Source organism: Homo sapiens, chromosome X (genome assembly GCF_000001405.40).
Source record: "Homo sapiens chromosome X, GRCh38.p14 Primary Assembly".
Taxonomy (NCBI): Eukaryota; Metazoa; Chordata; class Mammalia; order Primates; family Hominidae; genus Homo; species Homo sapiens.
In genome coordinates, this window is record NC_000023.11 from 56,019,519 (window position 1) to 56,044,548 (window position 25,030).

Here is a 25,030-nt window from a genome sequence, read left to right on the forward strand (position 1 = left end):
GACCTATGTTTTGGATATTCACAAATACTTTAACATCTCTGTGGCAGATTACTGAGAGTGGACTTAGTTTTTGGAATAAAGAGTCAAAAGCAGAGGTGGGTACATAAAGTTAGTGATGAGGGTTATGTGGTAAGATAAAGTCCTGAGGCTGATTTTCTTCTATGCATATAGAAGTAATAGTAGACTTTAATGGTGTTTGGCTCAGAAAACCAAGAATAGTTATCTTGGAGCTATCATGGTCCTCTCCACAAAGTCCCTGAGGAACACAAGAAAGAATGGTAAGGGAAAGGAATGTAACACATAGTTAGACAGACTTGTTTCCTAGAACTCTATTCAGAGAACTGTGGTAGGTCAAGCTAGATCTTATGGTTAAGTTTGGAGGCCTGTGAGGCCATTTTCCTCTACCTAAACTCAAACCTTAATCTCAGAGTCTTATTTGACAGCTGACTGCAATGTGACAGAAGGCCACAATGATAAGCTTGATTAATAAAAACAGAATAGAGAATTGACCACAATCAAGTATTGATGTGTCGTGGCATCTGACCAGTCAGATAAAAGTTAGGTGGAAGGCACAACAAAGTTTTTAGTTATTATATCCCTTATTCTAGAATTCTACATACACCAAATATGAAAGGAGTTCTAAAACAGCATTTTGAACATAATGGAAATCAGCATGTATTCAGCTGGAGTGCTATTTAGGACAGCACTTTTATTTAGAGAAGATAAGAGCTCTGGGGAAAAAAAAGGAAAGATTGTGAAGGGCAATATAAGGCATGCTAAAGATTTTGGTGTTTAGAAACATCCTGCTACAGCAGCGTGGAGCATGCTTAGAAAAGAGGAGAAACTAGCAGCAGAAATACTGTCTAGAGGCTTTTGTGATAAGTCCATGTGAAACAGTGGGCCTTAAAGTAAGGTAGTAGACATTGGGCTGTAGAGAAGCAGGTAGATTCTAAAGTTATAAATGACATGATATGGTATCACCAATATTTGGCTATTGATTGGTTGTGGGAGAAGAGGAAGTAAAGGTGATTCACAGGATTCTGATTTGGGCAATGGAGTGAAGAATGGTGCCAAGGTACCAAAGGAAGAACAAGTTTTAGTCTGTGGATGCAGTATCAGACTGAAGATATTTTGTTCCAGAGTGTCTATGTTGAGGTGCTTCCGGAACATTTAGATAGACGGCCTATTGTAAATACATATATGCAATATATATGGTGAGAGTAGACTTAATTTTGGGAATAAACAAGTCAAAACCATTTTTAAACACTCTTACTGTATTCCAGAAATAAAAGGCTTGCTCTACCTCTCCACTTTTACCTATAAGTATAGCTGTGCTCCTGCCCTACTGAACTAATCACCATTCCAATAACACAGAACACAGCATGCTCTTCACATCACAATACCTTTGTACATATTGTTCCCTTTGCCTCAAATGCTTCCTTTCTCTCCTCTTCAGTCAGAATATGTATGTTTACATTCTGATTTGCTGATATTTATTGTAATACAGCATACATATGAAAGAGTACAGAAATTATACATGCACAGCTCAGCAAGTTTTCATCAATTTAACATACCTGTGTAATTGGCACCAGAAATATGAAACATTATTATTTCTCACCCATCTTATAGAATTATAGATTAGTACCATCTGTTTTTGAAATTTGTATGAATGAAACCATATGATATCTATTTATTTGTATGTATCTTATTTCATGCAACTTAATGATTTTGAGATTCATTGATGCTGTTGTGTGCAGCAGTGGTTTGTTCTTTTTTCATTTCTCAGTAGTATTTCATTGTATGACTATACCATAATTTATTTACTCTTTCTAAGACTGATGGACATTTGGGTCATGTTCAGTTTTTGGCTATTAATAATAATCATACAATTAAAATAATAAAAGCTGTATGAATTTTTTTGTAAGTAATTTTTTGCTACATATGTGCACACCCGTTTCTGTTGATTATATATAAAGGGGTAGAATTGCGGTGCAAGAGGTTATGCATGTGATTAGTTTTAGTCAGTACTGCCAAATAGATTTCCAAAGTGGTTATACTGACCCGCTCTTTTTTTTTTTTTTACATAACTCCAAAAATACAGTTTTTCCCATTGAATTTTTTTGAAGTTAAATAGCAGAGATGTCAGAATTATGCTCATCAGGAAATACAAAGTACAGAAATATAATTTCTGTGAGTAGTTTTTAAGTACTACTAGTAAGTACTGCTAGTGAGTGGTAAGATTGATAGCTTCTAGTGAAAGTCTGGAATCCAAAGCTTGATATGTATCTAAATATATGTTTACCCCACCTTGGCACTGTGCTTTGCTGAGGGAACAGCAGGCCTTGTGCAGGTCCAAGATAATTCTCATAAATACTTCATAGCCTCATTCAGTACATGAAAATTGGGTAATTGATGTCCCAGAAATGTGTGCAGAGAATAGAGCAAAAAAAAAAAAAATGCGTCTTGGAAAAAATTCAAAGCAAGTGTCAACCATATTCACTACAATTTAAACCAAAACAAAATGAAACAAACAAAAAGCCTCACATAAAATATCTGAATTTAAGATTACAGTCTGGTGTGTCATCAGTGAAAATGGTGCAGTGAAAACCTGTAGAATATCCCTTATCTATAAAAACCAATGAGAACACTGGCCAAAAAAATGTGAGAATCAATGTTTTCAGAACTCTAGAAATTAACCAAAGGCTTGCAGAAATCCATGGAGCCTTTATTCAAGAAAAATGTCTGAGGCCAGGCATGGTGGCTCATGCCTGTAATCCCAGCACTTTGGGAGGCTGATGCGGGCGGATCACGAGGTCAGGAGATCGAGACCATCCTGGCTAACACAGTGAAACCCCGTGCCTACTAAAATTACAAAAAATTAGCTGGGCATGGTGGTGGCGGGTGCCTGTAGTCCCAGCTACTCGGGAGGCTGAGGCAGGAGAATGGCGTGAACCCGGGAGGCAGAGCTTGCGGTGAGCCGAGATCGCGCCACTACACTCCAGCCTGGGTGACAGAGCGAGACTCTGTCTGACCAAAAAAAAAAAAAAAAAGAAGAAAAAAAAAAGAAAAATATCTGAAGCTCAGTAGGAGCATGAGCTTTTTATCATTTTAATTTGCCCTGTTCCTATGCCCTCTCCCCAGTTCCACAGCAGCCCTGAAAATCAACAGCATGCAAGTCACAGTGAAAAGCAGCAACGTGGTAACCACCGAAGAGGGTAGAATGAGGTTGGAGCCTCTTCAAAGTCCCTTACCAGAAAACTGTCATTATTCAACCTGTATGACAGCTCTCAGGGAGACCTCATGTGTAAGGCTACCTTTAATAGACCTGACTAAAAGCTCCCCCAGGGTGAATAGACCATTCCATGGAGCCATTTGTCAGAAATAATCAGAGAAAATTATGTATATATATATAAAATCTACCACCAATAATTTTATATCACATCACAACACCTGAGGTGGTAGATAAGGATTGGTGCAAACATTAGGTTAACCAAAAAGCTTACAAAGAAAATATGGGGAATAAGATGTCCATAAGTGTGTTAATGGGCATGCAATATTTAAATATGTAATTTATAGGACAATTACAACACAAAAGATGGGGAGGGAATTGAGATTTATAGGGGCAAAGTTTTGTATATTATTTAATTTTAAATTATAAACTATAGTAATAGAAACAAGGGAATTAAGATGGTATATGGCAAAATATTTATAAGAAAGAAGACAGCAATGGAAAACAAAATATATAAAACATACAGAAAACAAACAGCAAAATGATAGATGTGAATCCTATTTTATCAGTAATTATATTGAGTTTAAATTGATTAGCTGCTGTAACCAAAAGGCAGAGACAAACAGAATGGATTTTTAAAAACTGTGATCCAACCACGTGCTTTCTATGAGACAAACAAAGACACAAACAGGATGAAAAAGCTGTATTTTGAATATCATGGCCAAAGTGGCTGTGCTAACATCAGACCAAACAGAATTTTTGACAAAATTGTTCCTAGATGTAAATAAGGGCATTTTATAATGATAAATGGGTCAATGAATCAAGATGATATGATAAATATACCTTCACCTAAACTGAACCCCCAAATACAAAGCTTGTTATATACACTGGTATTCATACTTTTTTTTTTTAACACAAACACTCCTTTGATTGTTGCAAGAGTTTAATTTTTAGAGTTCTAAAAATGTTGATTTTGAGAATTATTACCAGCATTCTTATTGCTTTTATGGAAGAAAATATTTTTGCAGGTCTTTACTCCCCCTTTTCAAAAATCTCAACTCTTAGCAGACTTTTCAATGGATGTAAAGAATGTCATTCTATCAACATGCTCTGATGCATTTATTCAGTAATCTACTGATGGACATTTATTTAGGTTGTTTCTAGTATTTTGCTAGCACAAACAGAACTCCAGTGATATTTTTCCACATATAATTTTATACAACTGTATGAGAATAGTCATACAAGTAGAATTATTTAGATCAGAGGATATATACATTTTAATATTTGATAGATATATATTAGTTTTCTCTAAGGAAGCTGTAACAAATTACATGCCCACCAATTTATGAGATTGAATGTTTCCACACATTTAATTTTTTAAAAAATTTATTTTACAACACTGCGTACTGACAATATTTTTAATCTTTATCAATCTGATGGTGAACAAAATGTCTTTTTAATTTCTTTTTTTTTTTTTTTGGAGTTAGAGTCTCTCTGTCATCCAGGCTGGAGTGCAGTAGCGCGATCTTGGCTCACTGCAACCTCTGCCTCCCGAGTTCAAGCTATTCTCTTGCCTCAGCTTCCGAAATAGCTGGAATTACAGGCTCGCACCACCACACTGGACTAATTTTTGTATTTTTTGTAGAGACAGGGTTTTGCCATGTTGGCCAGCCTGGTCTGGAACTCCTGGCCTCAAGTGATCTGCCCACCTTTGCAGCAGGACGAGCCACGGACAAAACCCCACAGACACCAAGGTAGTGAAGGAAGTGGCTTTAATCAGCTGGAAGGATCGGCAGACTAATGTCTCAAAATCCGAGATCCCTGAGTGCACAATTTCTGTCCCTTTTAAGGGCTCACAATGCTAAAGATTTTACGTGAAAGGGCCATGATTGATCGAGCAATCTAGGGGGTATGTGACAGGGGCTGCATGCACCGGTAATCAGAGTGAAACAGAACAGAAGGAGAAGTTTCACAATGTCCTTCCATACAATGTCTGGAATCTATGGATAACATCGGTTGCTAGGTCATGGGTTGAATTTTAAAGGCCTGGTTTTGGGACTGGGTTTGGGTCTGGTGCCTGGCACCGGGCTGCCTGCCTTTGGTTTCACTTCCTTGTTTCTTCTTAAAATGGGTACTGAGTATAAAACAATGTAAAACAATATGAGGGGTCTCTTTTTCTCTTCTCTCACCTTGGCCTCCCAAAGTACTTTTCCTTCTCTAGCTATGCAATATTGTCCAATAATTGAGACTTTTAGAACCCAGAAATTGTCAGGATGGTTCTTTTGGGCTGGGAATTCATCAGGAACTGGGTCCGTAGGGACTAATTCTTGGGCTTCCCATGGCCATTGATCTCCTGTTACAGTTCCTCCACAAACATAACACAAAGTGATTTTAAAGACTGTGCTACATGCTCAGCTAATTGCAAAAACAAATTTCTAGTTTTTCCTGGAATCTCAGGTACTGGCACATTTAGTTCATCATAGAAAGTCTGAAATACTGGCTCTAGAGAGCGTTTTCGAACCTCTCCTTTTATTAAGATATTTATTCTAGGATCTTGTCCTTTTCCATCAATGCCTAGAGATACGTGCTCTCCTTTTTCCCACTTTGGGTCTGAAGGATTTGTAATTATTAATTCTAAAGGGTTGCAGCTTCCACTTGTGCAGGAGGGGCTGCTTTTTCCTTTTTGGAGCCAAACAAGATCTTATTCATCTTTTTTCCAAGTAGCCCAGATGACACAAGACCAGTATTGACACACATTTGTACATGAATATGATTCATGGCAGATATACTTATTTTCTGCTGTGTAACTCTTTTCCCAATCTAGAGAACCGCATCTTATTCCTTGCTGATTACTATTAATAGTGGCACAAGTGTCGAATTTTAGGGTTACATGTTTGGGGACCCCTCTTTCTTCTGTTCTAGCTATTACTTTACTTGTGTCACCTAGAAAAGGGCCAGTCCTTAGTCTTATTTCAAATACCGTGATCATGGGAGGATCAGAGGGGTCATAACACACATCAGGCTGATCACTTTCTGGATTACATACTTTGTACTGAGTGTTATTATATAAACATGTTCCTTTTGGTGTTCCTAGGCACTCATAATAACTATAGGACAAAAAGATTGTTTTAACTTGTTGTCCTACCTCAGTGACCTGATGTACACACTGAAAGCAGTCCTCCGTGTGAAAAGAAGCAGTGGAAGCTTTTACCACACAAGTCCATGTCACAAGGAAAATAAGTCCCATGACAATTTTCCTCATGCTTCGGCCGTGCGTAGACCAGTCAACTTCCGGGTTTGACTGGAGTAGGGCTTGTCATCCTCCTCAGAGTCACTTTACAGGGATTGTCCAGGCTTGGTTTGGCCTCCTAGGTTTCAGTGGCTGCAGGCTTTATGCTGCTGTGTGATCCAGGCCAGGATTCCTTCCGCCTTTACAGCTGTGGGAGTGGTCATGATAACAGTCTGGGGTCCTTTCCATCATGGCCGCAGAGGAGCTACTTTCCAGTCCTTGATTCACACACGGTCATCTGGAGAAAAAGGGTGAACTGGGGAGAATAAGCTGACCAGGCACCTCTCATTTACCCAAGCTGAGATTGTCTGGGTAATTTTCCCCAAGGCCTGTAGCTGTCGCTGCAATTCAATTTCACCTAACTCTTGGGGAGTACCCGGAAGTCCTCGCAGTATAGGAGGAGGACTATGATATAATACTTTGTAAGAGGAGTATCCTGTTTTCTTAGAGGGGGTGCACCTAATTTTAAACAATACCATAGGAAGGGCCTGTATCCATTTTAATCCTGTCTCTTGACATACTTTCCCTAAACTATTTTTGACAGTCCGATTCATTCGCTCCACTTTTCCAGAACTCTGAGGTCGGTAGGCAGCATGTAACTTTCATGTGATTCCCAATACCTTTGCTGTCTTCTGTACTAAGTCAACCACAAATGCTGGCCCAATATCTGAGCCAATCCATAGCGGCAGTCCAAACCTAGGGACAAGATCTCAAAGAAGCACACGGGTTACTTCACGAGCTTTTTCAGTTCGTGTCGGATAAGCCTCTACCCACCCAGAGTAAGTACACACTAGAACCAGTAAATACTTCTTACCTCCGCATTTGGGCATCTCTGTGAAGTCCACTTGAAGATCTTCAAAAGGAGCTACTCCATAGGCTTGTATGCCGGGAGGGACAGAGGGGTCTTGCTTTGCATTGTGCTGTCAATAGGTAACGCATTGCTGCGCTACTGTTTTAGCTAGAGCTGGCAAGTGTGAGATGTAGAAGTACCAGCTTAACAGCTTTTCAAGTGACTCTTGACCTAAATGGGTAGTTTCATATACAGCCAGCACTACTGTGGCTCCTAGCAGCTGTGGCACAGCTATTCTCCCCCATCTGGTAACTTTATCCATCCTTCTTTTATTTTGTCCTCTTTCTGCCTGAAGAATGTCTTTTTCCTCTTTAGAATAAGTAGGGACCAGATCAGGTGTTTGAGGGAGTAGGGGGGCTGTGACTGATGCCCAGTAGGGAGTAGATGCTGCTTTTCATGCCTCTGTGTCTGCCCAGGAGTTTCCTCGGCTCACTGAGGTGGAAACTTGCTGGTGTCCCCTGCAATGCGTGACTGCCACCTTTTGGGGTTTCCACACTGCCTCTAATAATTGTAGAATTTCTTGTTGATATTTTATGTTCTTTCCCCCAGAATTTAACAGGCCTTTTTCTTTATATAATGCCCCATGTACTTGAAGGGTTAGAAAGGCATATCGAGAGTCAGTATAAATGTTTACAGTCTTACCTTCACTGAGTTCTAGAGCCCGAGTTAAAGCAACGAGTTCTGCTTTCTGGGCTGAAGTGCCCTGAGGCAATGGCTTGGCTTCAATAACATTATCCAAGGTTACCACCGCATATCCTGGACATCTTTCTCCTTGTGGGTTGATGAAGCTGCTCCCGTCTACGTATAACTCCCAGTCTACTGATGCCCATGGCTGGTCTCGAAGATCCGGTCTGCTAGAATAGACTGAGTCCAACACCTCTACACAGTTGTGTTCAACAGGGCTGTCTGATACTGGGAGCAAGGTGGAAGGATTTAGTGTGTTACAGACTTCAATGGTTATGCGGGGGTTTTCACACAAGCTTTGGTACTTGGTTAATCTAGCATTTGTTAGCCAATGGTGTCCTTTGGTATTCATTAAAGTTACCACCACATGGGGGGCCTTTATATTTAAGTTTTGCCCAAGGGTTAGCTTATCTGCTTCTTGTGCTAACAGGGCTGTAGCTGGCAGGACTGTCAGACATGGAGGCCAGCCTTTTGAAACTCCATCTAGCTGTTTTGAGAGGTAGGCCACTGGTCTTGGCCAGGGCCCCACAGTTTGAGTTAAAACTCCAACTGCCATTTTTTCTCTTTCTGACACATAGAGTGTGAAGGGCTTGGTCAAATCTGGTAGTCCCAGAGCTGGGACTGACATAAGTTTTTCTTTTAACTTACAAAAGTCTTGCTGTTGTAGAGGCCCCCATTCAAAGGGCTCTCAGTCGCCCCCCTTTGTAACCCCATACAACAGTTTGGCTAGCACGCAAAGTTTGGAATCCATAATCTGCAAAACCCACAGCTCCTAGAAATTCCCTTACTTGCCTTCTGGTTTTATGTTCTGGTAGGCTGCAGATGACCTGCTTTCTTTCTGACCCCAGGCTGTGCTCCCCTTTCTGAATAGTGAATCCCAGGTAGCATACCTGCTGTCTGCAAATCTGAGCTTTCTTCTTGGACACCTTATATCCACAGTCCTCCAGGTGCCAAAGTAGGGCATCCATCCCTTTTGCACACCCGACTGCTGTGGAGTGTCCTAGCAGAAGGTCGTCCACGTACTGGAGCAAGACGCAGCCTAGGTCTTTAGCAGGAAACTTCTGGATGTCTCGAGCCAACGCCTCCCTGAAGATGATGCGGGAATTTTTGAACCCTTGGGGAAGCTGAGTCCAAGTGTACTGTGTGGTGACACCTGACCCCGGGTCTTCCTACTGAAAGGCAAACAGTTTTTGGTTCTCAGGAGCTAGTCTAATGCTAAAGAAGGCACCCTTCAAGTCCAGGCAAGTGAACCAGCCATCCTCAGCCAGCAGCAATCCTAACAATGTGTAAGTGTTAGGAACTGTTGGGTGCAGAGTCACAGTAGCTTGGTTAACCAAGCATAAGTCCTGTACGGGCCGATAGTCCTTGGTCCCTGGCTTGGGGACAGGTAGGAGGGGGGTGTTCCATGGAGACTGGCAAGGAACTATAATTCCAAAAGCTTTCAAGTGTCTAAAATGTGCCTGTATTCCTTCAAGAGCTTCCCTGGGAACCGGATACTGCTTTTGTCTGATTGGCTGGGCCCCAGGCTTAACTTCTATGAGTACAGGGGCTTGATTGATCACCAGCCCTGGAGGATTGTCCTCCACCAATACTCGGGGCCATTGCTTAGCTAGTGCCGGTTTTATCTCCTGACCTGGCTCGGTTAGAAAAAGGCTCCATTCTTCTCAGGGGACCATAAGGACCATGATAACTCCTGTTCCCGGTAACTTCAGCTATAAAGAGCCCTGTTTTGTAAAGGAAATGGTGGCTCTCAGCTTGCTAAGCAAGTCTCTGCCTAACAAAGGCAAGGGGCAGTCAGGCATATACAGAAATTGATGAGTCACTTTATGTCCTTCTATCCAAGCAGGTCCACGGTAGGTAGAAAACCTGCTTGGTGGAGACTCTTGCTCCTATTATATCAGCGGTTTTCTTAGATAAGGGGGCCACTGGGGTGGTTACTACTGAGTGTTCAGCACGGTATTGACCAAAAACTTAATGTCCTTGACCCCTATTGTCATCCTGACCATGGGCTCCTTGGGGGCATTTGAGCTCGATCCCCTTCAGTCTAGAAGCCCTTCGGCCAGATTAAACAAAGTCCCTTCGTCTTTTTCTATGGTCTTTTTGCTCTGCATCACCTTGCTTCTCTTTTAGTTGGGGACATTTATCTTTCCAATGTCCTATTTCTTTACAGTAGGCACATTGGTTACGCTGCAGACGTGAGCGATTGGACTGGGCATTCCTCCCAGAACACCCCTTTCCCTGTCCCTTCGTGGGGATTCCCCTAATTGCCACAGCCAGCAAATCAGCGTTCCACCTGGCCTGGCGTTCTCCCTCCTTATGGCTTTCTCTGCGGCTTGTTGCATCACTGTTTACAAATATTTGATTAGCTATCTCCAGTAACTGCGAGATATTCATTCCTGCAAAACCAGCCTGTTTTTGTAATTTCCTTTGGATATCTTCTGCACTTTGACTAACTAAGGCCATGTTAATCATATGCTGATTTTCAGGACTATCTGGATTGAAAGGAATGTACATATGATAGGCCTCACACAGTCTTTCATAGAATTGGGCTGGGCTTTCCTCCTTTCCTTGGATGACTTCAGAAACTTTATTTACGTTGGTGGCCTTTTGAGCCCCTTTTTTTCAGACCTTCAATTAATGCCTCCTGGTATTGTCTTAGCCTCTCCATATCTGGTCCTTCATTCAGATCCCATTGAGGGTCCATTCCTGGCAGCTGAATTCTTATGTATTCCTGGGGATTTTGGTAATCGGCTGGGACATGCTCCTCTAGCCATTTAGTTGCTGCCTGGAGCACCCTTCGCTTTTCATCTGTGTTAAAGAGGTACATGAGTAGCTGGTGGGAATCAGCCCAAGTAGTATTATGAGTCTGTATAATAGTTTGGAGCAAGTCAATTAGAGCTTGAGGCTTTTCAGTGTAAGATGGAGTATTATTTTTCCAATTGAGGAAGTCAGCAGAAGTGAAAGGGTGATACACAAAGGCACGCCTTTCCATCATGTGTCCATCCTCATCTATCCCAGTATATTGCTGCTCTCTCAGGGGCATTTGTGTTCCAGTCTTGGGCTGTAAGCGAGCCACCAAGGGAGGAGTTTCTCCTGCAGCTTCACTTCCTTTCTTGTCTACTCTGGGTGGTCTAGGGGCTGTGAGCTCAGGATTAGGGGGCCTCTCTGCTTGGTAAGGGAGGGGCACTGTTGGTGCCATCTCCTGCCATGAGTCTTTGGGCTCTGGGTCAGACAGAACTTTAGGGGCTGGCTTCTGTCAGCGGGTGGAGTGAGGACCTTCCTTAACTAACTGTCCCTTTGCTACTAGTACTGCTGCTGCCTGTCCTGTTAACCACTGTGGGGGATCTAAAACTAGCTGTAACCAGGAATCTATATATGGGAACTGATCTGGGTGTCCTGGCTTGCCAGTTACTTTGTGCCATACCTTTGAAACAAGAGACCTCTCCAGGCTTCCTTCTGATGGCCAACCTACCTCTAATTCTGGCCAATCTATTTCACACAAAGTTCTAAGTTTTCCTGGAGTCATAGTAACTCCATAGTCTCCTTTGAATCCTTTCTTGAAATTCTTTAACATAGTTCCCAATGGGGTGGGCTTACTTTGTGCCTGACCCATGTTTTCTCAAGACAAAATATCATGCTCACACCACACACTTACCACAAAACAAAGAACAGGTAAAGAGGGCACACACACACCTTTATCGTTTATACCAAACCAAAATCAGAGTATCAAGAAATTTAAGCCAAGTCAAAACCAAAACCAAAGTATCAAGCAATTCAAGTCAAGTCAAAACCAGAACAAAAGTGCCGATACAGGCATGCTGTGGGTGGTCAGGCCATGCTTCCACTCAGATGGAGTGGGCAAGTTTCAAAGACTATTCTTACCAAGTTTCAGATGTCTGGACTCCAAGTGCCATTTCCTTCCCTGTGTTCAGCCACTGCTTTGGTCCTCCATGGGGGCTTGCCACACACTGCTCTGGTGAGGCGTTCCACCGGGCCAATTGCCTACCCGGGAGCGCTCTTTGGATCATGTCGCTCGGGTAGGCTGGAGTCCTCTGCAGGGATGCTCCACAGGGCAGGCCTAAGCTGCCTAAGGGGCTGCCTCGGCTGTCCATCAGTCACCTCGTTTCCCAGTCAGCGAACCAAGAAATGTAGCAGGACGAGCTGCGGACAAAACCCCACAGACACCGAGGTAGTGAAGGTAGTGGCTTTAATCAGCTGGAAGGATCGGCAGACTAATGTCTCAAAATCCGAGCTCCCCGAGTGCACAATTTCTGTCCCTTTTAAGGGCTCACAACGTTAAAGATTTTACATGAAAGGGCCGTGATCGATCGAGCGATCTAGGGGGTATGTGACAGGGGCTTCATGCACCAGTAATCAGAGTGAAACAGAACAGAAGGAGAAGTTTCACAATGTCCTTCCATACAATGTCTGGAATCTATGGATAACATCGGTTGCTAGGTCATGGGTTGAATTTTAACTACCAGGTTAGGTCACGAAGGCCCAGACCTGGTTTTGGGTCTGGTTTTGGGTCTGGTGCCTGGCGCCGGGCTGCCTGCCTTTGGTTTCCACTTCCTTGTTTCTTCTTAAAACAGGTACCGAGTATAAAACAATATAAAACAATATGAGGGGTCTCTTTTTCTCTTCTCTCACCTTGGCCTCCCAAAGTGCTGGTGATTACAGGCATGAGCCACCATTCCTGGCCCTTAAATATTTGTTTTATTTGGTTTTTGTTGTATATGCCTCAAGTCTTTCATTTTTTTATTGAGGTATAATTTATATTTAGTAAAATTTATTCTTTTTACATCTACAGTTCTTTGAAATTTGGCAATGTATACCATTCTGTAACCACCACTATAATCAAGATAAATAATGTTTCTGTCACCTGAAAAGGCTCCCTTGTGCTCTTTTGTAATCAACTCCTCCCTCTAATTCCCAGCCTTTATCAACTACTGATAAGATCTCTTTCACTGCAATTTTGTTCATTATAAACTGTTATATAAGTGAAATTATAAGTTTATAGCCTTTTGATTCTTGCTTCTTTTACTCAACATTTTTCTCAAGATTCATCTGTGTTGTTGTGCATGTCAGTAATTCTTTATTGTTGTTGTTCAGTAGTTTTCTATTGTATGAATATAGCAATTTGTTTATCCATTTATCTATAGATGGACACTTCAGTAGTTTCCAATATTTAGTGACTATGAATAAAGCTGTTTTAAACATTTGCAGACAGATTTTCCTGTGGACAGATTTGTGTTTGTATTTTGGGATGGGTAAATACCTAAGAGTGGAATTACTAGGGATTATGTTAAGTAAATGTTCAACTTTACTACCAACTGCCAAACTGTTTTCCAGACTGGCTTTAAAATTTCTCAGTCCTACCAACAATGTATTAGAACTTCATTGCTCCACATCCTTGCCACCATTTGTGTTTTTAAATTTTATAATACATTAACAAATAATAATTCTATATATTTATGAGGAACATATGATATAGATATATAATGCAGTATGATTGAACTAAGAAAAGTGACATATCCATCTCCTCAAATACTTATCATGTATTCTTCCTATCTAACTTAAACCTGTACCTTCTTAGCAACATCTCCCCATTCCCCAACCCAACCTCTGATAGCCACCATTCTACTCTCTATTTCTTTGATTTAGATTATTTTATATTCAAAATAAAAGTGAGATTATTCAGTATTTTTCTTTATGTGGCTGGCATATTTCACTTAGCATAATGTCCTCCAGTTTTATCCACGGTGTCGCAAATGACAGGATTTTTTTCCTTTTCAGGGCTGTTACTCCATTGTGTATACATACTGCATTTTCTTTATCAATTTTTTTTGATGGGCACTTAGATTGATTTTATATGCTGGCTATTTTGAAAAATGATGCAATGAATATAGGAGTGCAGACATCCCTTCTACATACTAATTTTAAATCCTTTTGATATATACACAGAAGTGGGATTTCTGGATCATATGGTAGTTCTATTTTTAGTTTATTGAGGAACCACCACACACTTTTTTATAATGGCTGTAATATTATAATTCACATTCCCACCAACAGTATACCTGAGTTCCTTTCTCTTCACTTGTTATCACTTCTCTTTTTTATAATAACCACCATCACAGGCATGAGGTTATATTATATTGTGGTTTTAATTTGCATTTCCCTAATGATTAGTAATGCTGAACATTTTTTTCATGTACCTGTTGGCCATTTGTATGTCTTCTTTGAGAAATGTCTTTTCAGATCTTTTGTCTGTTTTAAAATAGTTGTTTCTTGCTAGTCATTTGTTTGAATACCTTACATATTTTGAATACCTTTGTTTGAATACCTTACATATTGAATACCTTACATATTTTGTATAGCAAATCTTTATCAGATGTTGGCTTGCAAATATTTGTTGTTTCCTTTGCGTTACAAAATCATTTTTGTTTGTTACAAACAGGTTTGTCTATTTTTGTTCGTGTTGCCTAAGATTTTGGATGTAATCCCAAAGAATCATTGCCAGACCAATTTCATGTAGTTTTTTCTGCTATATTTTCTTTTAGTATTTTTACATTTTCAGGTCTTTTCTTTAAATTTGTAATCCATGGTGAGGTGATTTTCATGTGCAGTGTGAAATAAAGGTCCAATTTCATTCTTCGGCATATGGATATTCAGTTTACCCAACATCATTTATTAAAAAGACTGTCCTTTTCCCATTGTATATTATTGGCATCTTTGTCAAAAATCAATTGAATGAAAACACATGTGTTTATTTCTGGAATTTTTATTCCATTTCTTTGTGTATGTGTCTATTGTTATGCCAGTACCATGCTGTTTTAATGAATATAGCCTTCTAATATAATGTGAAATCAGATAGTGCCTCCAGCTTTGTTCTTTTTGCTGAAGTTTGCCTTGGCTATTTGGGTTTTTAAATTTTATACATTATAATTTATTTTGTTTTATGATTGACACAGTTATATATATGTATGGGGTACATAGTAATATTTTGATACATATAGTGATAAGATCAGGGTAACTAACATATTTATCATCTCAAACATTTATCATTTGTTTGAGTTGAGAACATTCAATATCCACTTTCTGGCTATTTGAAAAAATAAATTATTTTTAACTATAGTCATCTTACAATCTTACAATGGTATAGAACACGAACTTATTTCTTTTTTTTTTTTTTTTTTTTTTTTTGAGATGGAGTCTCGCTCTGTGGCCCAGGCTGGAGTGCAGTGGCGCGTTCTCGGCTCACTGCAAGCTCCGCCTCCCGGGTTCACGCCATTCTCCTGCCTCAGCCTCCCGAGTAGCTGGGACTACAGGCGCCCGCTACCACGCCCGGCTAATTTTTTGTATTTTTAGTAGAGACGGGGTTTCACCGTGTTAGCCAGGATGGTCTCGATCTCCTGACCTCGTGATCCGCCCGCCTCGGCCTCCCAAAGTGCTGGGATTACAGGCGTGAGCCACAGCGCCCGGCCGAACTTATTTCTTTTATCTAGCTATAATTTTATGTCCTTTAAGAAATCTCTCCCTATTCCTCATTCATTATATGCTTCCCAGCCTCTGGTATCCTCTGTTCTACTTTTTACTTTTATGAAATCACCATTTTTTACCTTCCACATATGACTGAGAGCATACATGGTTTAACCTTCAGTTCCTAGTTTATTTTACTTAACATAATATCCTCCAGTTCCATCCACGTTGCTGAGAATTCCAGGATTTTATTCCTTTTCATTGCCAAATAGTATTCCATTGTTTATATATACCACATTTTCTTTATGCAGCCATCTGTTCTTAGACACTTAGGTCAATTCCATACCCTGGCTATTGTGAATAGTACTGCAACAAACATGGGGTAACAGATGTCTCTTTGACATACTGTTTTTATTTCCTTTAAATAAATGCCTAGTAATGGGATTACTGGATCATATAGTAGTTCTACTTACAGGTTGTTGAGAAAACTTCATACTGTTCATTATAGTGGTACTAAGTTAAATTCTTACCAAGATTGTATAAGAGTTTCTTTTCTCTTCATCCTTGCCAACATATGTTATTTTTTGTGTTTTTGATAAAGCCTCCTTAATTGGGGTGAAATGATATCTCATTGGGTTTTGATTTGCATTTCTTTGATGATTAGTGATGTTGAACATTTTTTTCATATATTTGTTGGCCATTTATATGTCTTCTTTTGAGAAATGTCTGTTCAGATTGTTCACCCATTCACGTCTTTTTAATTGGATTGTTTGGCTTTTTTGCTGTTGAGATGTTTGAGTTTCTTACATATTCTGGATGTTGATCCCCTGTCAGATAAATAATTTGCAAATATTTTCTCTCATAATGTAGATGGTATTTTCACTTTGTTGATTGTTTCATTTGCTGTGCAAAAATCTTATTAGTTTGATATAATACTATTTTTTAAAATTTGTGCTTTTGTCAGATAGCATGATGCTTCCAGCTTTGTTGTTACTGAAGCTTCCCTTGACTATACGGGCTTTTTAAATCTTATACTTCATTTTTAATTTATTTTATTTTTTAATTGACACATAATAATTATACATATTTATGGGGTACATAGTAGTATTTTGATACATATGATGTATAGTGAACAGATCATGGTAACTAGCATATTTATCATCTCATCTATGCTTTTGAGGTTTTATTCATAAATTATTTTCTCAGAAAAATTTCCTCAAGCATTTTCTCTATATTTTCTACTAGTAGTTTTATAGTTTTGTTTCTTACATTAAGGTCTCTGATCCATTTTCAGTGGACTTTTGTATAGGGTGAGAGTTGGTGGTCTAGTTTTGTTCTTCCATATAGGAATATCCAATTTTCCCAGCACCATGTATTGAAAAGACTGTCCTTTCCCCAATGAATGTTCTTGGCATCTTTGTCAAAAATCAGTTGGCTGTAGATATGTGGATTAGTATTTGTGTTCTGTTTTCTATTACATTGCTCTATGTTTCTGTTTTTATGCCAGTGACATACTATTTTGATTACCACGACTTTGTAGTATATTTTGAAGTTCAGCAGTGTGCTTCCTGCAGCCTTGTTCTTTTTGCTCAAGATTGTTTTAGGTATTTAGAGTCTTTTGTAGTTCCATACATATTTTAGAATTTAAAATTTTTTTTCTTTGAAGAATGTTATTGGTGTCAAGATAGGAGTTGCATTTAATTTGTAGATTCCTTTGGGTAGTACTGTCTTTAACAATAATAAATTTTCTGATTCATAAGCATGAGATGTCTTTCCATTTTTTGTATCTTCTTCATTTTTTATGAGTGTTTTGTAATTTTTCTTGTAGAAATCTGCTACAACCTTCATTAAGTTTATTCCTAATTTTTAAGGCAATTGCAAATGTGACTGCCTTCTTGATTTTTTTCAGCTAGTTTGTTGTTCCTGTATAGCAACACTACTGATTTTTGCATTTTGATTTTATTTTACAACTTTACTGATTTATCAATTCAAATGATTTTCACTGAAGTCTTTAGTTTTTTTGTGTATATAAGATCATGCCATTTGCAAACATGTACAATTTGACACCCTCCTTTCCAATATAGATGTCCTTTATTTTTTTCTCTTACCTAGTTGCACTGTCTAGGACTTCCAGTATTATGTTGAATAAGAGTGGTGAGAATGGGCATCCTTGATTTGCATATGTTGAACTATCCTTGCATTCCTGGAATAAATCCCACTTGATCGTGGTGTATTATCTTTTTCATTTGTTGGTGGATTCCATTTACTAATATTTTGTTCAGGAATTTACATCTGTGTTCGTCAGGAAGATTGGTCTGTTTTTTTTTATTGTTGTGTCCTTGTCTGGTTTTGATATCAGTGTTATGTTGGCCTCATAGACTGAATTAGGAAGAATTCTCTGTGCTTCAATTTTTTAGAAATAGTTTGAGAATAATTGATATTAATTTTTTTAAAAAAGTTTGGTAAAATTCAGCAGTGAAGCCAGCTGGTTCAGGACCTTCCTTTGTTGGGATTATTTTTATTACTGATTCACTCTTATTACTTGTTTTTTGGACTATTCAGGTTTTCTATTTATTTTTTCTTGGTTCAATCCTTTTTATAATTTCTTTATTTTACTTTTTTTTCTTTAATTTTTGTGTTTACATAGTAGGTGTATATATTTATGGGGTACATGAGATATTTTGATATAGGCATGCAATGTGAAATAAACACATCAAGGAGAATGGAGTATCCATCCCCTCAAGCATTTATCCATTGTGATACAAAAAATTCAATAACACCATTGGACACAGTTGTTATAAAATGTACAATTAAGTTATTATTGGCTACAGTCACCCTGTTTTGCTGTCAAATAGTAGGTCTTATTTATTTCTTCTAAATATTTTTTGTATGCATTAACCATCCCACCTCCCCACCACTTCCAGCCCCTCACTATCCAACCCAGCCTCTGGTAACCATCCTTCTACTCTCTATGTTTATGAGCTCAAATGTTTTGATTTTTAGATACTGCGAATAAATGAGAACATGTGATGTTTGTCCTTCTCTGCCTAGCTTATCTCAGTTTGCATAATGATTTTCAGTTCTAACCATGTTGCAAATGACTGGGTCGTATTCTTTTTATGACTGAATAGTACTCCATTGTGTATATTTACCAAATTTTCTTTTTTTATCATTTTATTTTAAGTTCATGGGTATATGGTGCAGGATGTGCAGATCCGTTACATAAGTAAACATGTGCCCATGGTGGTTTGCTACACAGATTATGCCATCACCTAGATATTAAGCCCAGCATCCATTAGCTATTCTTGATGGTGTCACTCACCCCACACATCACCTTCTGACAGGCCCCAGTGTGTTGTTCCCTGCCATGTGTCCCTGTGTTCTCATCATTCAGACCACATTTATGAGTGAGAACATGCACTGTTTTACTTTTCCTGCATTAGTTTGCTAAGGATAATGGCTTCCAACTCCATACATGTCCCTACAAGAACATGATCTCATTACCTTTTATGGCTGCATAGCATTCCATAGTTTATATGTACCACATTTTCTTTATCCAGTCTATCATTAATGGGCATTTGGATTGTTCTTATGTCTTTGCTATTATTAATAGTGCTGCAATGAACATATGCATGCATGTATCTATAATAGAACGATTTATATTCCTTTCGGTATATACCCAGTAATGGGATTGCTGGGAGAAGTTGTATTTCTGCCTCTAGGTCTTTGAGGAACTGCCACACTCTCTTACACAATGATTGAACTAATGTACGTTTCCACCAACAGTGAAAAAGTGTTTCTTTTCCTCCACAACCTCACCAGAATCTGTTGTTCTTGGACTTTTTTAGCCATTCTGACTATCGTGAGATGGTATCTCATTGTGGTTTTCATTTGCATTTCTCTAATGATCAGTGACGGTGAGCTTTTTTTCCCTATGTTTGATGGCCCCATTTATGTCTTCTTTTGAGAAGTGGCTGTTGAGGTTTATTGCCCACTTTTTAATGTGGTTTTTCTTTTTCTTGTAAATTTGTTTAATATCCTTATAGATTCTGGATATTAGAGTTTTGTCAGAGGGATACATTGCAAAAAGTTTCTACCATTTTGTAGGTTCTTTGTTCATGCTGATGATAGTTACTTTTGCTGTGTAGAAGCTCTTTAGTTTAGTTAGATTTCATTTTTGAATTTTTGCTTTTGTTGCAATTGCTTCTGGTGTTTATGTCATGAAATTTTTGCCCATGCCTATGTCCTAAATGGTATTGCCTAGATTTTCTTCTAGAGTTATTATAGTTTTGGGTTTTACATTTAAGTCTTTAATCCCTCTTGAGTTAATTTTTGTATATGGTGTAAGGAAGAGGCCTAATTTCAGTTTTCTGCCTATGGGTAGCCAGCACTCACAGCACTAATTATTAAATAGGGAATCCTTTCTCCATTGCTTGTCTTTGTCAAGTTTGCCAAAGATCAGATGGGTATAGGTGTGCAGTCTTATTTCTGAGTATCTATTCTATTCCAGAGTTATCTATTATATTCCATTGGTCAATGTTTCTGTTCTTGTACCAGTATCATGCTGTTTTGATTACAGTAGCCTTATACTATAGTTTGAAGTCAGATAGCATGATGCCCCCAGTTTTGTTCTGTTTGCTTAGGATTGTCTTGTCTATTTGGGCTCTTTTTTGGTTGCATATAAGTTTCAGAATCATTTTTTCTAATTCCAAGAAGAATGTCAATGGTAGTTTAATGGGAATAACATTGAGTCTATAAATTACTTTGGATAGTGTGGCCATTTTTATTATATTGATTTTTCTTATCCATGAGCATGGAATATGTATTTGTTTGTGTCCTCTCTGATTTCTTTGAGCAGTGGTTTTTAGTTCTCCTTGAAGAGGTCCTTCACTTTTCTTGTTAGCTCTATTCCTAGGCATTTTATTATTTTTATATCAAATGTGAATGAGAGTTCATTCATGATTTGGCTCTCTGCTTGCCTGTTATTGGTGCATAGGAATAGTAGTGATTTTTGCACATTGCTTTTGTAGCCTGAGACATTACTGATGATTCTTATCAGCTTAAGAAGCTTTTGGGCTGAGACAATGGGGGCTTCAAGATACAGGATCATGTCATCTGCAAACAAAGATAATTTGAGTTCCTCTCTTCCAATTTGTATACCCTTTATTTCTTCTGTTGCCTGATTGCTCTGGCCAGAACTTCCAATACTATGTTGAATAGGAGTGGTGGGAGAGGGCATCCTTTTCTCGTGCCAGTTTTCAAGGGCAGTGCTTCCAGATTTTTCCCATTCAGTATGATATTGACTGTGGGTTTGTCATAGATGATTCTTAATACTTTGACTTCTGTTCCCTCGATACCTAGTTTATTTAGAGTTTTTAACAAGAAGGAATGTTGAATTTTATCGACAGCCTTATCTGCATCTATTTATATAATCATGTGGTTTTTGTCTTTAGTTCTGTTTACGTGATTAATCACATTTATTGATTTATGTGTGTTGAACCAACCTTGCATCTCTAGCATGAAGCCTACTTGATTGTGGTGGATAAGCTTTTTGGTGTGCTGCTGGATGTGGTTATTTTGTTGAGAATATTTGCATCAATGTTCATCAAGAATATTGACCTGAAGTTTTCTTCCATTGCTGTATCTCTTCCAGGTTTTGTTATCAGGATGATGCTGGCCTAATAGAATGAGTTAGGGAGGAGTTCCTCCTTTTCAATTTTTTGGTATAGTTTCAGTAGAAATGATACCAGCTTTTTTTTTTTTTTTTTTTTTTTTTTTTTTTTTTTTTTTTTGGTACCTTTGGTAGAATTCAGCTGTGAATCTGTCTGGTCTTGGGCTTTTTTTTTTTTTTTTTCCGGTTTGTAGGCTATTTATTATTGCCTCGATTTCAGAACTTGTTATCAGTCTACTCAGGGATTCAACTTCCTGGTTCAGTCTTGAGAGGGTGCATGTGTCCAGGAATTTATCCATTTCTTCTAGATTTTCTAGTTTATGTGCATAGAGGTGTTTATCGTATTCTCTGATGGTTGTTTGTATTTCTGTGAGGTCAGTGATGACATCCGCTTTATCCTTTTTTAATTCTTTTCTTTTTTGGAGACTCTTTTCACTCTTGTCGCCCAGGCTGGAGTGCAATGGCATGATCTCGGCTCACTGCCACCTCCACTCCCGGGTTCAAGCGATTCTCCTGCTTCAGCCCCCTAAGTAGCTAGATTTACAGGTGTGCGCCACTATGCCCAGCTAATTTTTGTATTATTAGTAAAGACAAGGTTTCACCATGTTGGCCAGCCTCGTCTTGAACTCCTGACCTCAGGTGATCCACCCGCCCAAAGTGCTGGGATTACAGGCATGAGCCACCTCGCCCAACCCTTTTTATTATTTTTTATTGTGTCTATTCTCTCTTTATTAGTCTAGCTAGCAGTCTATCTATTTTTTTTTTTTTCAAAAAACCTCTCCTGGATTCATTGACTTTTTGAATGGTTTTTCATGTCTCTATCTCCTTCAGTTTAGCTCTGATCTTGGTTATTTCTTGTCTTCTGTTAGCTTTGGGATTTGGCTGCTCTTGGTTTTCTAGTTCTTTTAGTTGAGATGTTAGGTTGATAAATTGAGATCTCTCTAGTTTTGTTGTTGTTGTTGTTGTTGTTGTTGTTGTTGTTGTTTTTGAGATCGAGTCTCACTCTGTTACCAGGCTGGAGTGCAGTGGCATGATCTCAGCTCACTGCAACCTCCACCTCTTGGGTTCAAGGGATTCTTCTGCCTCAGCCTCCCGAATAGCTGGGACTACAGGCACATGCCACAACACTCAGCTAACTTTTGTATTTTTAGTAGAGACGCAGTTTCACCATGTTAGCCAGATGGTCTTGATCTCTTGACCTCATGATCTGCCTGCCTCTGCCTCCCAAAGTGCTGGGATTACAGGCATGAGCCACCACACCCAGCCCTTTCTAGCTTTTTGATGTGGGCATTTAGTGCTATAAATTTCTCTCTTAACACTTCTTTAGCTGCATCCCAGAGATTCTGGTTTGTTGTCCCTTTGTTCTCATTAGTTTCACAGAACTTACTGATTTCTGGCTTAATTTTCTTATTTACCCAGGAGTCATTCAGGAGCAGGTTGTTCAATTTCCATGTACTTGTATGGTTTTATGTGAATTTCTTTACATTGAGGTTTAATTTGTGTTGTGGTCTGAGAGGCTGTTTGTTATGATTTCAGTTCTTTTGCATTTGCCGAGGAGTGTTTTCTTTCTGATTTTATGATGAATTTTTTAGTAAGTGCCATGTAGCAATGAGAAGAATGTATATTCTGTTGATTTGGGGTGGAGAGTTCTGTAGCAGGTCCGACTGATTTAGAGCTGAGTTCAGGTCCTGAATATCTGTTAATTTTCTGTCAGTGGGGTGTTAAAGTACTCCCACTATTTTTGTGTGGGAGTCTATGATTCTTTTAGGTCTCTAATAAGTTGCTTGAGTCTGGATGCTCCTGGAATGTGGGCATATATATTTAGAATAATTAGCTTATCTTGTTAAATTGAACACTTTACCATTATGTAATGCCCTTCTTTGTCTTTTTAAATCTTTGTTGGTTTAAAGTTTCTTTGGTCAGAAACTAGAATTGCAACCGCTGTTGTTTTCTGTTTTTCATTTGCTTGTAAAGTTGTCTTCTATTCCTTTATTTTGAGCCTATGTGTGTGTTTTTGCCTGAGAGGGGTCTCTTGAAGACAGCAATTAGATGGGTCTTGGCTCTTTATCTTGCCATTCTGTGTTTTTTAGATTGTTTACACTTAAGGTTAGTATTGTTCTGTGTAAATTTGATCCTGTCATCAAGACGCTAGCTGGTTACTTTGCAGACTTCTTTATGTGGTTGCCTCATAATATCACTGGACTGTGTACTTCAGTATGTTTTTGTAGTGTCTGGTAATGGTTTCTTTTTTATAGTGCTTCCTTCAGGACCTCTTGCAAGGCAGGCCTGGTGTTAATGAACTTCCTCAGCATTTGCTTGTCTGAAACATATCTTATTTCTCCTTTGCTTATGAAACTTAGTTTGGCCAAATATGAAATTCTGTTTTGGAAATCCTTTTTTTTTAAGAATGTTGAATATTGGCCCCCAATCTTTTCCAGCTTGTAGGGTTTCCACTGTGAGGTTCGCTGTTAATCTGATAGGCTTCCCTTTGTAGGTAATCTGGACTTTCTGGCTGCCCTTAAAATTTTTTTTTTTCATTATGACCTTGGAGAATTGGATGATTATGTGTATTGGAGATGATCTTCTCATGGAGTATCTTACAGGGGTTCTCTGCATTTCTTGAATGTGAATGTTTGCCTGTCTTGCTTGGTTGGGGAAGTTCTCCTGGATGATATCCTGAAGTATATTTTCCAACTTGGTTCCATTCACCTTGTCGGTTTCAGGTACCCCAATCAGTGATAGTTTCAGTGTCTTTATAATGAACCCATATTTCTCAGAGGTTTTCTTCATTCCTTTTTGTTTTTTTCTTCTCTGTTTTTCTCTGCCTGTCTTATTTCAGAAAGATAGTCTTCAGGCTCTGAGTTTCTTTTCTCTGCTTTTTCTATTCTGTGATTGATACTTGTGATTGATGTTGTGTTTTTCATCTCCATCAGGTCAGTTATGTTTCTCTCGAAACTGGCTATTCAGGCTATCAGCTCCTGCATTGTTTTATCATGATTCTTAACTTTTTTGCATTGGGTTACCCCATGCTCCTTTAGCTCAGCGAAGTTGATTATTACCCACCTTCTGCAGCCTACTTCTGTCAATTTAGCCATCTCAGTCTCAGCCAGTTTTGTGCCCTTGCTGGAGAGGTGTTGCAGTTATTTGGAAGAGAAGAGGCACTCTGGTTTTTGAGTTTTCAGCATTTTTCTGTTGATTCTTTCTGTCTTTGTGGCTTTATCTGCCTTCTATCTTTGAGGTTGCTGACATTTGAATGAGGTTTTTGTGGGTTCTTTTTTGTTGATGTTGTTGTTGTTTTCTGTTTGTAATTTTTTTTGAACAGTCAGGCCACTCTGCCATAGGGCTGTTGCAGTTTGCTTTGAGTCTGCTTTAGACCCCAGTTGCCTCACTTTCTTCTGTACCTGGAGGTATCACCAGTGAAGACTGTGAAACAACAAAGATGGCAGCCAGCTCCTTCTTTTGGAAGCTTCATCCCAGCGGGGTACTGACCTGTTCCTGGCCTGTACACCTGTATATGATGGCTGGAGGTCCCCGTTAGGACCTCTCATGCAGTAAGGAGGAATGAGTTCAGGCACCCATCCAAAGAAGCAGTCTGGCTGCTTTCTGGGAGACAAAGTGTGTTGTGTTGCAGGGTTTACTTTTTGTCCAGACTGCCTGTATTCTTCAAAGCCAGCAGGCTGGAGTTGCTGAGTCAACTGAACTACAGAGATGTCAGCTTATCATCCCACTGGGAGCTTCACCCTATGGAGAGGTTAAAGCTTTGTCCATAGCAATCTGCCTGGATTGTCTGAAGGCCCTGCAGGGAGGTCCCACCCAGTGAGGAAAAAT

At 39.1% G+C, this 25,030-nt stretch overlaps 1 protein-coding gene and 2 long non-coding RNA genes across 4 annotated transcripts in view; 1 reads left to right on the top strand and 2 right to left on the bottom strand.

Moving 5' to 3' along the window:
- The window catches only part of KLF8 (KLF transcription factor 8), a 383,409-nt gene that overhangs the window by 111,396 nt on the left and 246,983 nt on the right, over window positions 1-25,030 (top strand). The window lies entirely within an intron of this gene.
- Window positions 4,985-8,002, bottom strand: LOC124905192 (uncharacterized). The gene is made up of 2 exons (XR_007068246.1): window positions 7,333-8,002; window positions 4,985-6,756 (listed from the first exon to the last, which is right to left on the bottom strand). It is a non-coding gene; the product is annotated as an uncharacterized LOC124905192 (long non-coding RNA).
- Window positions 8,011-12,108, bottom strand: LOC124905193 (uncharacterized). Its single transcript, XR_007068247.1, has 3 exons — window positions 11,935-12,108; window positions 8,943-9,224; window positions 8,011-8,280 (listed from the first exon to the last, which is right to left on the bottom strand). It is a non-coding gene; the product is annotated as an uncharacterized LOC124905193 (long non-coding RNA).